Genomic DNA, 14,779 nt, shown 5'->3' with positions numbered 1-14,779 from the left:
CTACCTGACTTCAAACTATACTACAAGGCTACAGTAACCAAAACAGCGTGGTACTGGTACCAAAACAGAGATATAGACCAATGGAACAGAACAGAGCCCTCAGAAATAATGCTGCATATCTACAACTATCTGATCTTTCATAAACCTGACAAAAACAAGCAATGGGAAAGGATTCCCTATTTAATAAATGGTGCTGGGAAAACTGGCTAGCCATATGTAGAAAGTTGAAACTGGATCCCTTCCTTACACCTTATACAAAAATTAATTCAGGATGGATTAAAGACTTACATGTTAGACCTAAAACCATAAAAACCCTAGAAGAAAACCTAGGCAATACCATTCAGGACATAGGCATGGGCAAGGACTTCATGTCTAAAACACCAAAAGCAATGGCAACAAAAACCAAAATTGACAAATGGGATCTAATTAAACTGAAGAGCTTCTGCACAGCAAAAGAAACTACCATCAGAGTGAACAGGCAACCTACAGAATGGGAGAAAATTTTTGCAACCTACTCATCTGACAAAGGGCTAATATCCAGAATCTACAATGAACTCAAACAAATTTACAAGAAAAAAACAAACAACCCCATCAAAAAGTGGGCAAAGGATATGAACAGACACTTCTCAAAAGAAGACATTTATGCAGCCAAAAAACACATGAAAAAGTGCTCATCATCACTGGCCATCAGAGAAATGCAAATCAAAACCACAGTGAGATACCATCTCACACCAGTTAGAATGGCGATCATTAAAAAGTCAGGAAACAACAGGTGCTGGAGAGGATGTGGAGAAATAGGAACACTTTTACACTGTTGGTGGGACTGTAAACTCGTTCAACCATTGTGGAAGTCAGTGTGGCGATTCCTCAGGGATCTAGAACTAGAAATACCATTTGACCCAGCCATTCCATTACTGGGTATATACCCAAAGGATTATAAATCATGCTGCTATAAAGACACATGCACACGTATGTTTATAGCAGCACTATTCACAATAGCAAAGACTTGGAACCAACCTAAATGTCCAACAATGATAGACTGGATTAAGAAAATGTGGCACATATACACCATGGAATACTATGCAGCCATAAAAAATGATGAGTTTGTGTCCTTTGTAGGGACATGGATGAAACTGGAAACCATCATTCTCAGCAAACTATGGCAAGGACAAAAAACCAAACACCACATGTTCTCACTCATAGGTGGGAATTGAACAATGAGAACACATGGACACAGGAAGGGGAACATCACACATCGGGAAGTGTTGTGGGGTGGGGGGAGGGGGGAGGGATAGCATTAGGAGATATACCTAATGCTAAATGACGAGTTGGTGGGTGCAGCACACCAGCATGGCACATGTATACATATGTAACAAACCTGCACGTTGTGCACATGTACCCTAAAACTTAAAGTATAATAATAATAAAATTAAAAAAAAAAAAGAATGGCTACTCAACTTCACCTACCCTCCTAGATCTCAGCCTCTTTCTTTGCTTCCAGCCAGATTGACTCTAGCTATGGCTCACACTGTTCCCTATAGTCCCATCTACCCAGGAGGCTGAGGCAGGGGAATCGCTTGAACCCTAGAGGCAGAGGTTGCAGTGAGCCGAGATCGCGCCACCGCACTCCAGCCTGAGCGATGGAACGAGACTCCATCTAAAAAAAAAAAAAATGTGGGTTAATGTATTCCTAATTGCTTTTCAGAGTTTAACATCAGCAGTCTATAAGAGTGCCCATTTTCTTATCTATTCAGTAACATTAACTATTATAACCTTTCTAAATCTCCATCATCTAACATCTGAATATGGTATAACATTATTTAACTTTACAATTCTTTGAATCCTAGTGAGTTTGGACATCTTTTTCATTTATTTATTGACTATCTGTATTTCTAATTTGTGAATTTTCTTTTTGCTCACTTTCTTCTGTTAGGAATTTGTATTTTTCTTTTGATTTCTAAGAGGTCTTCGTATATTAGAGATCCTAATCTTTTGTCAGGTTGCAAATATTTTCCTAAAATGTTCGTCTTGTTTTAAATTTTGTAATACCTTTTGCAAAATATAAGCTTTATATGGTTATGCAGCCAAATCTATCACTGTCAATCTTTTTCTTCACTTTTTCCTTTTGCGTATGTTAAAACTCTCTCTACTGAGCTCAGTAGATAAATATTGACATTATTTTCTTATAAGTATTTTATGGGTTTATTTTGGAGTTAAATATCTAATGCCTCAGGAATTTTTGTGTATATGAATTTTTAGCACATGATAGAAAACATAATTTTCCCCCAAATGGTTAACCATTTTTCCTACTTCCATGTGATGAATCTCTACTGACTTGAAAATACATAATTTAATGTGTGTACAACTTTGAAAAACATATATTTGCATCTCATTATGGATCTTTTTTTTTTTTCTTGATCTACCTGTTCTTAGCTCAATACTGTTGCTTTATAACATGGTTTAATATTTTATGTGGCCTCCCTTCCTCATTGTCTCCCTCCGCCCCACAAAAAAAAAAATCTTGGCTATTTTCAGGCATATTTTTCCTCCCAAAAGGACTTTAAAATTCCATTGAATTTTAATTGGAAATAGGATACGTTTCTAAATTGATGTAAAGAGAATTGATATCTCTGCAAGCCAATTTTTTGTTAAGAGGGATTATATGTCTCTACATTTATTCAAGTCTTTTTTATGTCAGTCAGTGAAGTTTTCCTAATACAATCAACTTATGCTTTATTTTTCATTTTATTTTGTTTCTCTAATTTTCCCCCTACATTTTATTGCTGCCATGAGTGGAGCTTTTTTAGCCTTTTTTTTTTCTTGTTGCTATTTGATAGTATATATTAAAGTTATTTAATTTATTCAAATATTTTATTCAACATACATTTATTGAGTGCATACTATGTACTAGTGACTCTTCTAAGCATTGAGAATATAGCAGTGAACAAAATAGCCAACCTTAAGAAACTTACATGGGACAGGAGGTGAGATAAATAAACAAAAACAAAGCATGATATGTTAGAGAGTAAGAAATACCAAATAAAGGCAGGGAAGGGAATAGTGAAGGGAGTTCAGGGGTGAGAGGCTAATTTTAATATTAAATGAAGTAGTTAGGAGAGACCTTGATGAGAGAATAATTTTGGGGGCAAAGACCTGAGGGCTAGGGAGCAGCCATTTATTTCTGTGAAGGAAGAAAGTTCCTGATTAAAGGAACAGCAAAGGCAAAAGCCATGAGGTGGAAGCTGGTGCATTCAAAGAATAAGCAGGCCAGTGTGGCTGGAGTGAGAAAAGAAGAGTAGTAGAAGAGAAGTAGTGAGGGGGCAGATTTTATGGCCTTGCAGATTATTGTGAGGACTTTGGCTTTTAGTCTAATTGAGTTTCCTGCTTGATTCTGTTTGATTGCCTATATTTACTGTCTCCATTTTCTTGCTTCTCATAAACTCCTCAACCCACTGAGTTCTGGCATTTGTCACTTCATGGTGCCCTATTGTCACTTCATTGAATCAATGCTAAGGTCACTAGTGACCTTGTCAGTAAATAAAAAGGGTGTTTTCCCCTTGCCTGTATCACCTTTCAGCCATTGACTGTGTTGCCCATTGCCTGCCTCTGGACGCATCCCCTTTTCCTGGCTGCCAAGACCCCACAGTCTTCTTGCTGTTCTCCCACCTCTTTGGCTCATTCCTTTCTATCTCCTTTGCAGGCTTATCCTCCTCTACCTAGCTATTGAGTGTTAGAATATTTTAAGGCATCAATTTTTGCTCACTTCTCTTTTAACCTCAGACATTCTCTCTAGGTATTTACGTTTCGTCTCTTATTTACGTTTCAGCTTCAGTTCTCTTTGTATGTGACAGTGACTCCCTTAGTAAATGTCCAGCTCGGTCCTCTTTTCTGCATCTCAGACTTGCATAACTAATTGACCCAACTGCCTATAAATCATCTCCTGCCAGGTATTTGTAAGGCATTTTAAACTCCACAAGTCCAACAATGGATTCAGGATTCTTCCCACAAAACTAATCTTCCAGGCTTGCTCTCTCAGTGAATGTGACCATGTACACCCACTTACGGGAAGCCAGAACAAACTTGGAAAGATCCTTGAGCTCTCCTTTTCCATGAACTCCCATGTTGATTTCATCACCAAGTCCTATTATTTTACCTTTTAAATCTCTCTCAAATCTGTCTACTTCTTTCCATCTCCCTTATGATTACCCTAATTGTCTCACTTGGAGCACTTCAAATATTCCTAACTGGCCTTCCCATCTCTCCTTTGGCCTCCCTCCAATGCAGTCCTCCACACTGTACCTAGAGAGATCTTTTTGAAGTGCTAATCTGCTCACCTTGCCCCTGCTTACAACCCTTCAAGTGAGTCATAATTCTTAACCATGCAGGGCCAAAAAGGCTTCCTCTCCTACCTCATCTTGCCCTCTCTCCTCTAGGCTCTCTGTACATCAACCACTCTCTTCTTTTCTGAATTTCAGTTTCTCCAGTGTGTTCTGCTCTCACTCCCTATCTAGCTCCTGTGCACTGGATACATCCAGCTGTTCTCAAACTGTAAACTCAGCTCAGGGGACACTTTTTCAGCCTTCCCTGGCCCTCTCATCTTTCTTTTATTATTATCTTCTTTCTTTTAATATTATCTTCTAAGTATTTCTTGTGTTACTTATCTCCATTTGTAATGATATGTTCATTCGTGGGAATTGTTGGTTAATATCTTTTTGGCCCACCCAACCTTGAGCTCCATGAGAGCAGAGACTGTGTCCCTCTTTATTCACCATTGAATCCCCAGGCCTAGCACAGTAACCTGGCACATTGTTACTATTCAGTAAATATTTGTGGAAAGAATCAATGAAGTCCTTTTGCTTCTTAGAATTAACCCAAAATGTTGCCTTTTTTGCATAATTGGCTTACTAGTACATTTCTTTAAATTTGCAGAAGCAGTGTATTTTCATGAACATAAAAAGTTATTTTTTGAGGGGTTTCTAGGCTTTTTCTGGAGTTACTGGAGAACAAATTGCTGTTGGGGTTTTTCTCACATTGTCGGAATCTGATATAACTGCCCTCTGTCCTTTGTGCATGCCATCTGGACTCAAGATTGAGTAAATTCACAGATTCTAGGCTGATAGCTATACAATACTGTTAATGACATTTCTAAATGTGTTAAAAGTGTTGTTTCGACTGGAATGAAATCCACTTTCTGGAGGCTTCAGGAAAATATGGCAGCCTGAGGTGCTATTTCCCAGTGTTTCTGTTGAATGCTGCCCTGGGAACTATGAAACAAGCAGCCCGGAAAATCCAAGTCTGTGGACAAATTGGAGATCAGAGTTGTGCATGAGGTGTTTTAAAAGGAGGCAAGGCCCAGAAACAAAAGTAGAAAGTGGGTGAATGGCTGGGTTAGCCAGAGTCACATCCCCACATGGATGGTTCCAGAAGGCCAGAGGCCTAGCTCTACCAGTGGTCTGCAACTAGTTTTAAAGTATTTTGACCTGACTTTGAAAAGTAAAGCAAGAAAATACCATTTTTAAAATCTTTCTTTTCTCCTCAGTTTCTAATTTTTTTTGTGGGCATTAACAGGCTAAGGTTCTCAGGCATGCAGGTTAAACCCTTTTACTTTACCAGTCAGACTTACATTCACAGTGTCCTAAAGACATATTCATATGTAATAATTTTTAACCTAGTGTGTCCTCTATTTAGCAAATTGTCACTCCTGCTTTTCCTGGGTGCTCGATGGCATGGGATGGGAAAACCTTTCACTTCTTACATGCCTCCCTCAGTGAATAGTCCCTTTGGAGTAGAACATCTCTACTATAATCTGTAGCTTCCACAATTATTGTTGTAAACACCTGTCAGAATTTTTTTTTTTTTTTTTTTTTTTTACTGGTGCAAGTTGTTCATCCTTAAAATCCATTCTAATTATTTCTTTTTTAAAAAATTAAAACAGTTTTTTTAAGAAACATGGTCCCACTCTGTCACTCAGGCTGGAGTGCAGTGGCATGATCATAACTCACTGTAGTCTCAGACTCCTGGGCTCAAGCAGTCCTCCCAACTCGGCCTCCCCAAAGCCCTGGGATTACAGGCATGAGCCACCATACCTGGACCTTCTAATTATTTCTTGTATGTGTCCAAGGGGTAGGCAGCATAGAGTTGTGGCATATACAATGGATTCTGGAGTTCTAATCTCCTCTCCACTCCATACTGGCCATGTAACTTTGGGCAAAAACTTCACACTTTCATGCCTTGGTTTCCTCATCTGTAAAATGGAAGCTTAATAGTATCTATTGACCATACAATTATAAAGGGGGCTGTTCTTAGGAGTAAATGAGTTATTTGAAAAACGTGGTTTTTATTGTTTGTTTTTTTAAGTCAGGGTCTTGGTCTGTTGCCTAGGCTTGAGTACAGTGACATGATCATGGCTCATTGCAGCCTTGAACTCTTGAGCTCAAGCAGTCCTCCTGTGTCAGCCTCTTGCGTAGCTGAGACTGCAGGTGTGCACCACCATGCCTGACTGATTTTTTAAAAACTGTTTTAGAGATGGGATCTCACTATTTTGCCCAGGCTGGTCTCAAACTCCTGGCCTCAAGCCATCTTCCTGCTTCAGCCTCCTGAGTCGAAAAATGTGTTTTTAAGAGTGCTTGGCTTATAGTAATTAATGCAACTATTTCTTAAATAAAATAAATGCGATAAAGTGCCATAAACCAGTACTTCTCAAATTTTGATGTGCAGCTAAAATCATTTGGGGACATTGTTAAATTGCAAATTTAGATTCTGCAGTTCTGTTGTGGGCTTGAGGTTCTACGTTTCTGACAAACGGTCAGGTGTTGCAGATGCTGCAGGTCCATGGGCCACACTTTAGCAGCAGCCAAATATAAGGCAACAAGCTACAACTGTCTCAGAATCTCTGCTCAAACATGACAGACTGCATTTATAAGGAGCCAGGTCTTCAATATGATGCTCTCTTTTGAACTCTGTGAGCATCTTTTGATGCTCTGTGAGCACAAGGCACACAGCGTACAGCGTGGGGCTGTTAGGGGAGCCCTGAGCAATCTGCAGGCCCACACAGTTCCCCACAGCTTGTAATGGGGAGAAATGATTGCTGGAAGTTAGTTCTCTGACCCACTGGGGGTGAGCTACTGACTCACAATGTGTGTGGTGTGTGTTTGGGGGAAAAGACAAGGTAAAGAGGAGGGAATACTGATGTGAAAACTCACAGAAGAAGATGTATTAATCCAAATATTAGTTGAATAAAAGAGCAAAGTCACATCCAAACAGAGAGCTGCTGGACCTCTTCCTGAGAGAAATCCCCACCGAAAAGGTGCCTCAGATGATGTGTCACATGCCTCAGGCTTCACCCTTTTTCTTGTGTCCACAAATTGTCAAAATTTCCCATGGAAAGAGGATTCCCTTCATGTATGATATTCCCCAAAGCTACCCATGACAGTCATGAAAAGCTGGAAATGACTTCAGCTGCAAACACTTGGGAGGTTTTGGGTTTTTTATAGTTTAGGTATTAACACTTTATATGTTTAGGTATAAACATCTGTTTTCATACAAGGGACTCTTCTTAGGCAACCTCTTTACTTCATGTTGCTTCAGTTTATTTTCCCTTTTTCTCAGCTTTCACTGAATGTCATGTGGATGAAGCAAGTTTCCAGCTTGATTCCTTGCCCTAGGATGTTTACTTGTCCTTTCTTTAAGTATCTATTAAATATCTATCTAAATATCCACAGAATACAACTAAGGTGTGCACATATGTATGCATGCCTGTGTGTGTGTGTGTGTGTGTGTGTGTGTGTGTTTTCCATAGCGATTCTAGGACTCCTTTTTGCAAGGGATATCTGTTATCTAGTTTTATTTGAAGCATTTGTCTGCCCTTTGACTTTTAAGTCAGTGATCACATTGGAGAGCTAAAGGTAGAATGGGCGAGCAGCGACAGAGGTTTCTGAGGTGGCACATGAATATGGCTCCTTCTGGTCCTGTAGGTCCTTCCATCAGGATTGCCACTCCACCACCAGTCAGGGAATAACAGTGTTCAGAGGCAAAATAAGATTCTGTGAACACAGAATTCTGGCTTTTTCTTTTTTTTGAGATGGAGTCTCACTCTGTTGCCCAAGCTGGAGTGCAGTGGTGGGATCTCGGCTCACTGCAAGCTCTACCTCCTGGGTTCATGCCATTGTCCTGTCTCAGCCTCTCGAGTAGCTGGGACTACAGGCACCCACAACCACGCCCGGCCAATTTTTTTGTATTTTTAGGAGAGACAGCATTTCATCATGTTAGCCAAGATGGTCTCGATCTCCTGACCTCGTGATCCACCCGCCTCGGCCTCCCTCCCAAAGTGCTGGGATTACAGGTGTGAGCCACCGCACCTGGCCTGTGGCTTTTTCAAAAGGTATATTTTTCCAGAGTCTTCATTCATATTCTCTCTCTCCCCCCCCCACCCACTTCACACACACACACACACACACACACACACACACACACACACACACATATCCTTACTCCTCCCCAGAGACCTCATTGTTGCCATCACCTGTTCAGAGCATCCAGGTTCCAGCCATGGTCTTGGTTGGACCTCTTCTTCAGTGAGCTGTCTGGGAGAGGCTGGTGTCTGGCAAGGTTAGGGATGTTTGATGTGAGGATGAGGGTCTATTACTCAATAACTCTCCCACAATATCAGTTCCACTTTGCTGAGGTGAAAGCCCTTTCATCTTCTGAACCTTTGCTCTAGGTGAGTTGAAGATTCCTCTGGTCAATTGGAGGCCCCTAAAAGGGAGATCTTATTAAACAAGGCAGACCACTTTGGGTTTTGTCCTTATCTGCAGATAACCATGCCATATACAGGGCCTTAAGCACTCTTTCTGTGTGTAACCCCTCACACTTTCTTCCCAACTCCTAATTGTCTCAGCAGCTCAGGTCAGTAGCCCAGTGCTCTTGTTATGCTAGCCTATACAAGCAGCACACATCAGTATGTTTTGGTCTTACACACTATTACATTTTTATCCATTGTGCTTTTAAAAGAGCCCTTGTTAATTTATATCACATTTGCATCATTTTTACATCTGGGAAGCATTATTGTGTCTGGAATTGGTGGGTTCTTGGTCTCACTGACTTCAAGAATGAAGCCATGGACCCTCGCGGTGAGTGTTACAGCTCTTAAGGTGGCGCGTCTGGAGTTTGTTCCTTCTGATGTTCGGATGTGTTCGGAGTTTCTTCCTTCTGGTGGGTTCGTGGTCCCGCTGGCTCAGGAGTGAAGCTGCAGACCTTCGCCATGAGTGTTACAGCTCTTAAGGCGGCACGTCTGGAGTTTGTTCCTTCCTCCCGGTGGGCTCATGGTCTCGCTGGCTTCAGGAGTGAAGCTGCAGACCTTCGCAGTGAGTGTTACAGCTCATAAAGGCAGTGTGGACCCAAAGAGTGAGCAGTAGCAAGATTTATTGCAAAGAGCAAAAGAACAAAGCTTCCACAGTGTGGAAGGGGACCGTAGTGGGTTGCCACTGCTAGCTCGGGCAGCCTGCTTTTATTCTCTTATCTGGCCCCACCCACATCCCGCTGATTGGTAGAGCCGAGTGGTCTGTTTTGACAGGGTGCTGATTGGTGCGTTTACAATCCCTGAGCTAGACACAAAGGTTCTCCAAGTCCCCACTAGATTAGCTAGATACAGAGTGTGGACACAAAGGTTCTTCAAGGCCCCACCAGAGTAGCTAGATACAGAGTGTCGATTGGTGCATTCACAAACCCTGAGCTAGACACAGGGTGCTGATTGGTGTGTTTACAAACCTTGAGCTAGATACAGAGTGCCGATTGGTGTATTTACAATCCCTGAGCTAGACATAAAGGTTCTCCAAGGCCCCACCAGAGTAGCTAGATACAGTGTCCATTGGTGCACTCACAACCCCTGAGCTAGACACAGGGTGCTGATTGGTGTGTTTACAAACCTTGAGCTAGATACAGAGTGCCGATTGGTGTATTTACAATCCCTGAGCTAGACATAAAGGTTCTCCAAGGCCCCACCAGACTCAAGAGCCCAGCTGGCTTCACCCAGTGGATCCTGCACCTGGGCTGCAGGTGGAGCTGCCTGCCAGTCCCACGCCATGCGCTCGCACTCCTCAGCGCTTGGGTGATCGATGGGACTGGGTGCCGTGGAGCAGGGGGCTGTGCTCATCAGGGAGGCTCGGGCTGCACAGGAGCCCACGGAGGCGGGGGTAGGCTCAGGCATGGCAGGCTGCAGTCCCGAGGCCTGCTCCGCGGGAAGGCAGCTAAGGCCCGGCGAGAAATCCAGAGCAGCAACGGTGGGCTGGCACTGCTGGGGGACCCAGTACACCCTCCGCAGCCGCTGGCCCGGGTGCTAAGTCCCTCATTGCCTGGGGCCTGCAGGCCCAGCCAGCTGCTCCGAGTGTGGGGCCCGCCAAGCCCAGGCCCACCTGGAACTCCAGCTGGCCCGCAAGCGCTGCAGGCAGCCCCGGTTCCCGCTCCCGCCTCTCCCTCCACACCTCCCTGCAAGCTGAGGGAGTGGGCTCTGGCCTTGGCCAGCCCAGAAAGGGGCTCCCACAGTGCAGCGGTGGGCTGAAGGGCTCCTCAAGTGCCACCAAAGTGGGAGCCCAGGCAGAGGAGGCGGTGAGAGCGAGCCAGGGCTGTGAGGACTGCCAGCACGCTGTCACCTCTCATTATGATTTCATCCCCTCCCTGCTTCATAGATGCCTTGAGATAGAGGTTAGGCACCCCAAATCTGAAAATCTGAAATCCTCCAAAATCTAAAACTTTTTGAGCACTGACATGACACTCAAAAGTAGTGCACGTTGTGCACATGTACCCTAGAACTTAAAAGTATAATTAAAAAAAAAAAAGTAGTGCTCATTGGCCGGGCGCAGTGGCTCACGCCTGTAATACCAGCATTTTGGGAGGCCGAGGCAGGTGGATCACGAGGTCAGGAGATCGAGACCATCCTGGCTAACATGGTGAAGCCTCGTCTCTACTAAAAAAAAAAAAAAAAAAAAAAAAAAAAATTAGCTGGGCATGGTGGCGGGTGACTGTAGTCCCAGCTATTGGAGAGGCTGAGGCAGGAGAATGGCGTGAACCTGGGAGGCAGAGCTTGCAGTGAGCCAAGATCACACCACTGCACTCCAGCCTGGGCAACAGAGCGAGGCTCTGTCTCAAAAAAAAAGGGTAGTGCTCATCAGAGCATTTTGGATTTTGGATTTTCAGATTTGGAATGCTCAACTGGTATATGTAATGTAAAATGTTCAAAAATCTGAAAAAGTTCAAAGTCTGAAACACTTCTGATCTCAAGCATTTTAGATAAAAGATACTCGACCCATATAAAAGGATTTAATTTCCCCTGGTAGAGTCTGACTGGTGTCATAGCTGTGTGATCTCCTGGGTCCCACCTAAGAAGGTGGCATTCCTAAGCCATTAAAATTCAGCCTATGTAACATAGCCATAAATAGGTTAGGCTTAGCCTGTCCTGAGGTGGTGTGCCTGGGAGTTAAGATCAGGGGCTCATATCTCTAAGTAAGGTGGCAGGTACGGTTTTATTTTATTATTTTAATTGCTATGCATTAACCTACATATGTGTCACATATATTGTGTATATCAAATATTACATAATTTAACCTTTTTAAAAGAGTAGAGTTCTGGAGTAAGGCATTAAATTCTAGTTTATTAGCTGTATGATCTTGGTCAGTTTATTTACCCTTTCTGTGGCACCTCTCTTTATTTCCAAAATATATAGGGATAATTGTGCAGGTCCGTTCTTCTTTATCTGCAATTCTGAATACAGAAAGCTGTAAAATGGACGGCTTTTTCACAAGTTTTCTGCAAACTCAGTAGGTAATAAAACTTGAACTGACCAGAGTCTATTTATAGTCTTTATTCCATTTAGTATGATTGCTCATATTTGGGGCTGATTATGTTTGGTTCATTATACATGTTTGATTATTGGTATGGCCCCAAATTCCTCTGGGGCTATTGTATACTGTTTAATACAACATATTGCCTTTCTAAAATACACAAATTTCTGAAATCCTAAACATATATATCCCCAAGAGATTTGGAAAAGGGCTTTAGACTTGTATGTCCCATCTCAGAGGGCTGCTGTGAGGAGTTGACATGGCGTCCATCTCTTGCAAATGCCTATCAGATAAGCTGTTAGTTGTTACAGACCCCTGAGACGTGACCTTATTCACTGAATAAATATTTATTGAATTCCTGCCGTGTGCCAAGTGCAGGTGGGGTGGTGGTGGTGATGGTGGGGGGGAGTGCAGCATAAAAGATGCCACTCTTGTCTTCAGGGAGCCCTACTCTAGTAAGGGACAGACATGAAGATGAGAAAATATGGGCTAGCAGGCAGGTGGCCTTTCAGCCTTGGCTGGCCAAGAAGGGACCTGGAGCCGGCCAGGAATGGGGCATCAGCTGAGCCGAGTGATGGGCATGAAGAAGGGTCTGCCAAGTTGAGGATGACCAGGAATGGGGCATCAGCTGAGCCAAATGGGATCTCAGTACTTTTGAAAACTGCAAGAAGTCAGGTTGGACTGGATCTTTGGTGCGGTGGGAGGATAAGCAAACAGGTGGAAAGGGAGTGCACATAAAATGCTTGGTGTGTCCTGGGGGAGAGCTTGGATTTTACCCTGGAGCCTGGGGTCAGATAGTGAAGAATGAAAGTGACATCTCTGAGTGTGCATGTGCATGACTCCTCAGCTGCAATTATTCATTTCAGGCTGTTACTATTTATTTAATATTATTCAGTTTATGACTGTGTGTGCATGCATGTAGTATTTCCTCTCCCAGATGAACATTTTCTAGTACTATATTAGGTTTAACAAAATAGGCAAAATATTTTTAAAACTCCCAAGATGTATATGTGTATTCATTGATTTTCCCCTCCATATATAATATGATTTTTCTACTAATAAATTTTATAGTTGATGGACTTCTTTAAGTCTGTCCTTATAGAGCAAATATTAAGTACTTTCAGTTAATGCTGATAATGTGGGAACATCTTTTGAATTTATACACTCTTCTTAGAATCTTTGTTGTAGATTCTCCCTTTGAAGTCTGTTAACATTGTTAAGATATTAAAAATTAATGGCCCAATTAGCCTCCCTTAGGGTTTTATTATGACTGACATTTAACTAGAAAAGTGACACCTTTTCAAGGCAATCATCCATCTGCCTTGGGCTCTCAATTCTGCTACAAACTTACTAAATTATATGAAAACAAAAACACAGGCCAGGCACCATGGCTCAAGCCTGTAATTCCAGCATTTTGGGAGGCCAAGGCGGGAGGATCACTTGAGCCCAAGAGTTGTAGACGAGCCTGGGCAACAAAGTAAGACCCTGTCTCTACAAAAAATATAAAAATTAGCCAGATGTGGTGGCAAATGCCTGTGGTCCCAGCTACTAAGGAGGCTGAGACGGGAGGATCACTTAAGCCCAGGAGATCAAGGCTGCATCGAGCTATGATCTTAGGATTTTTTCAAATATTTTTAAATGTACATTTATTACTTTAATTTTTTTTTTTGAGACAGAGTTTCGCTCTTGTTGCCCAGGCTGGAGTGCAATAGCGCGATATTCCGTCCACCGCAAACTCCGCCTCCTGGGTTCAAGCAATTCTCCTGCCTCAGCCTGCCGAACAGCTGGGATTACAATCATGTGCCATCACACCCGGCTAATTTTGTATTTTTAGTAGAGATGGGGTTTCTCCATGTTGGTCAGGGTGGTCTCGAACTCCCAACCTCAGGTGATCCACACGCCTCAGCCTCCCAAAGTGCAGGGATTACAGGCGTGAGCCACCACACCTGGCTATTACTTTAATTTTTAAGTTACTATGAGTACATTTTTTAAACAACCAAACTAAACTTAAGCCTCAGTGACTAAATACCAAACAGGATTTAGAGTGTCCTCTCCCTGAACCTAGTCCCTGCACCCTTACCCCAGAGATCTTTTCCTCTGTGACTTTCTTCTTCCCATTCAGCTTAATGGGGAGACACATAAACAGCTGGGAGTCAGCTGTAAAGTCTCTTAGAAAGCAGGCATGCCTTCACAGAGCAGTGAAATACCTTTCATGGTGGTTCAAAATCAGAAAGGGAATCACGGCGCCTGCCTTTGCTGAGGGAGGTGGAGGAGGAGTTGAAGCCATGGGTGTCATGGTGACTGTGAAGCCCCAGTGACAGCAGCCTAGGCTGTGACACTCCAGGAGGGCTCTGGTCACTTCAAGAGATTTGTGAGAATCTGGAAAACAAAGTTTTGAACTTAATTTTCACTTGTTTAAAAAAGCTGTTCTACAACATTTCTTGGTGGTAGGACTCTCTGTATGTGTGCCCGTGTGTGTGTGTACGTGTTGTGTGTGTGTACAAGCTGGGGCCCAGAGAAGTGGACGTGTTAGATGAGTTAGGCATTGGAGGAGTTTCAGACCTAAAAGAATCTCAGATGTAACAATGCATCTGTCTAAAGACAGGGTTTAATTGGGTGACCACCGAACATGCGTTCACGCTGGAAAACTCAATAAGACTGCTGAGACAGTCACATAAACAACCTCCTTCCCATGATTTCTGCTGACAAGTGGTTCTTTGCCATTAACATTAATCAGCAAGTACCCATTATTCAGCCAGTTGTTGATACTTTGTCACCTCATACCCTGCTCTTAAAGTTCTTATTGAGAACATTTGCTTTAGGCTAATTATTAAGGCTGATTATTAAGCCAAATTAACAATAATTATATACAAGCCTAAGTTAATCTCTTCCTTTCAAATAAAGGACACATAAAGGCAAACTGGCAGTGGTGCCAACATCACCTG

At 42.7% G+C, this 14,779-nt stretch overlaps 1 protein-coding gene and 1 long non-coding RNA gene across 2 annotated transcripts in view; one reads left to right on the top strand and one right to left on the bottom strand.

The window, feature by feature from the left end:
* The window catches only part of MCC (MCC regulator of Wnt signaling pathway), a 466,348-nt gene that overhangs the window by 20,839 nt on the left and 430,730 nt on the right, over positions 1 to 14,779 (top strand). The gene's annotated exons all lie outside the window — the stretch shown is intronic.
* LOC107986366 (uncharacterized) overlaps positions 8,452 to 14,779 on the bottom strand; it is a 59,223-nt gene continuing 52,895 nt past the window's right edge. Inside the window, exon 5 of the long non-coding RNA XR_001742459.2 lies at positions 8,452 to 8,754. This is a non-coding gene — a long non-coding RNA (uncharacterized LOC107986366). The remainder of the gene's footprint in view (positions 8,755 to 14,779) is intronic.

The sequence above is a fragment of the Homo sapiens genome, chromosome 5 (assembly GCF_000001405.40).
Source record: "Homo sapiens chromosome 5, GRCh38.p14 Primary Assembly".
In the NCBI taxonomy this organism is placed as follows: Eukaryota; Metazoa; Chordata; class Mammalia; order Primates; family Hominidae; genus Homo; species Homo sapiens.
The sequence above is the reverse complement of the archived record's forward strand: the minus strand, read 5'-3'. Positions and strand labels throughout refer to the sequence as shown.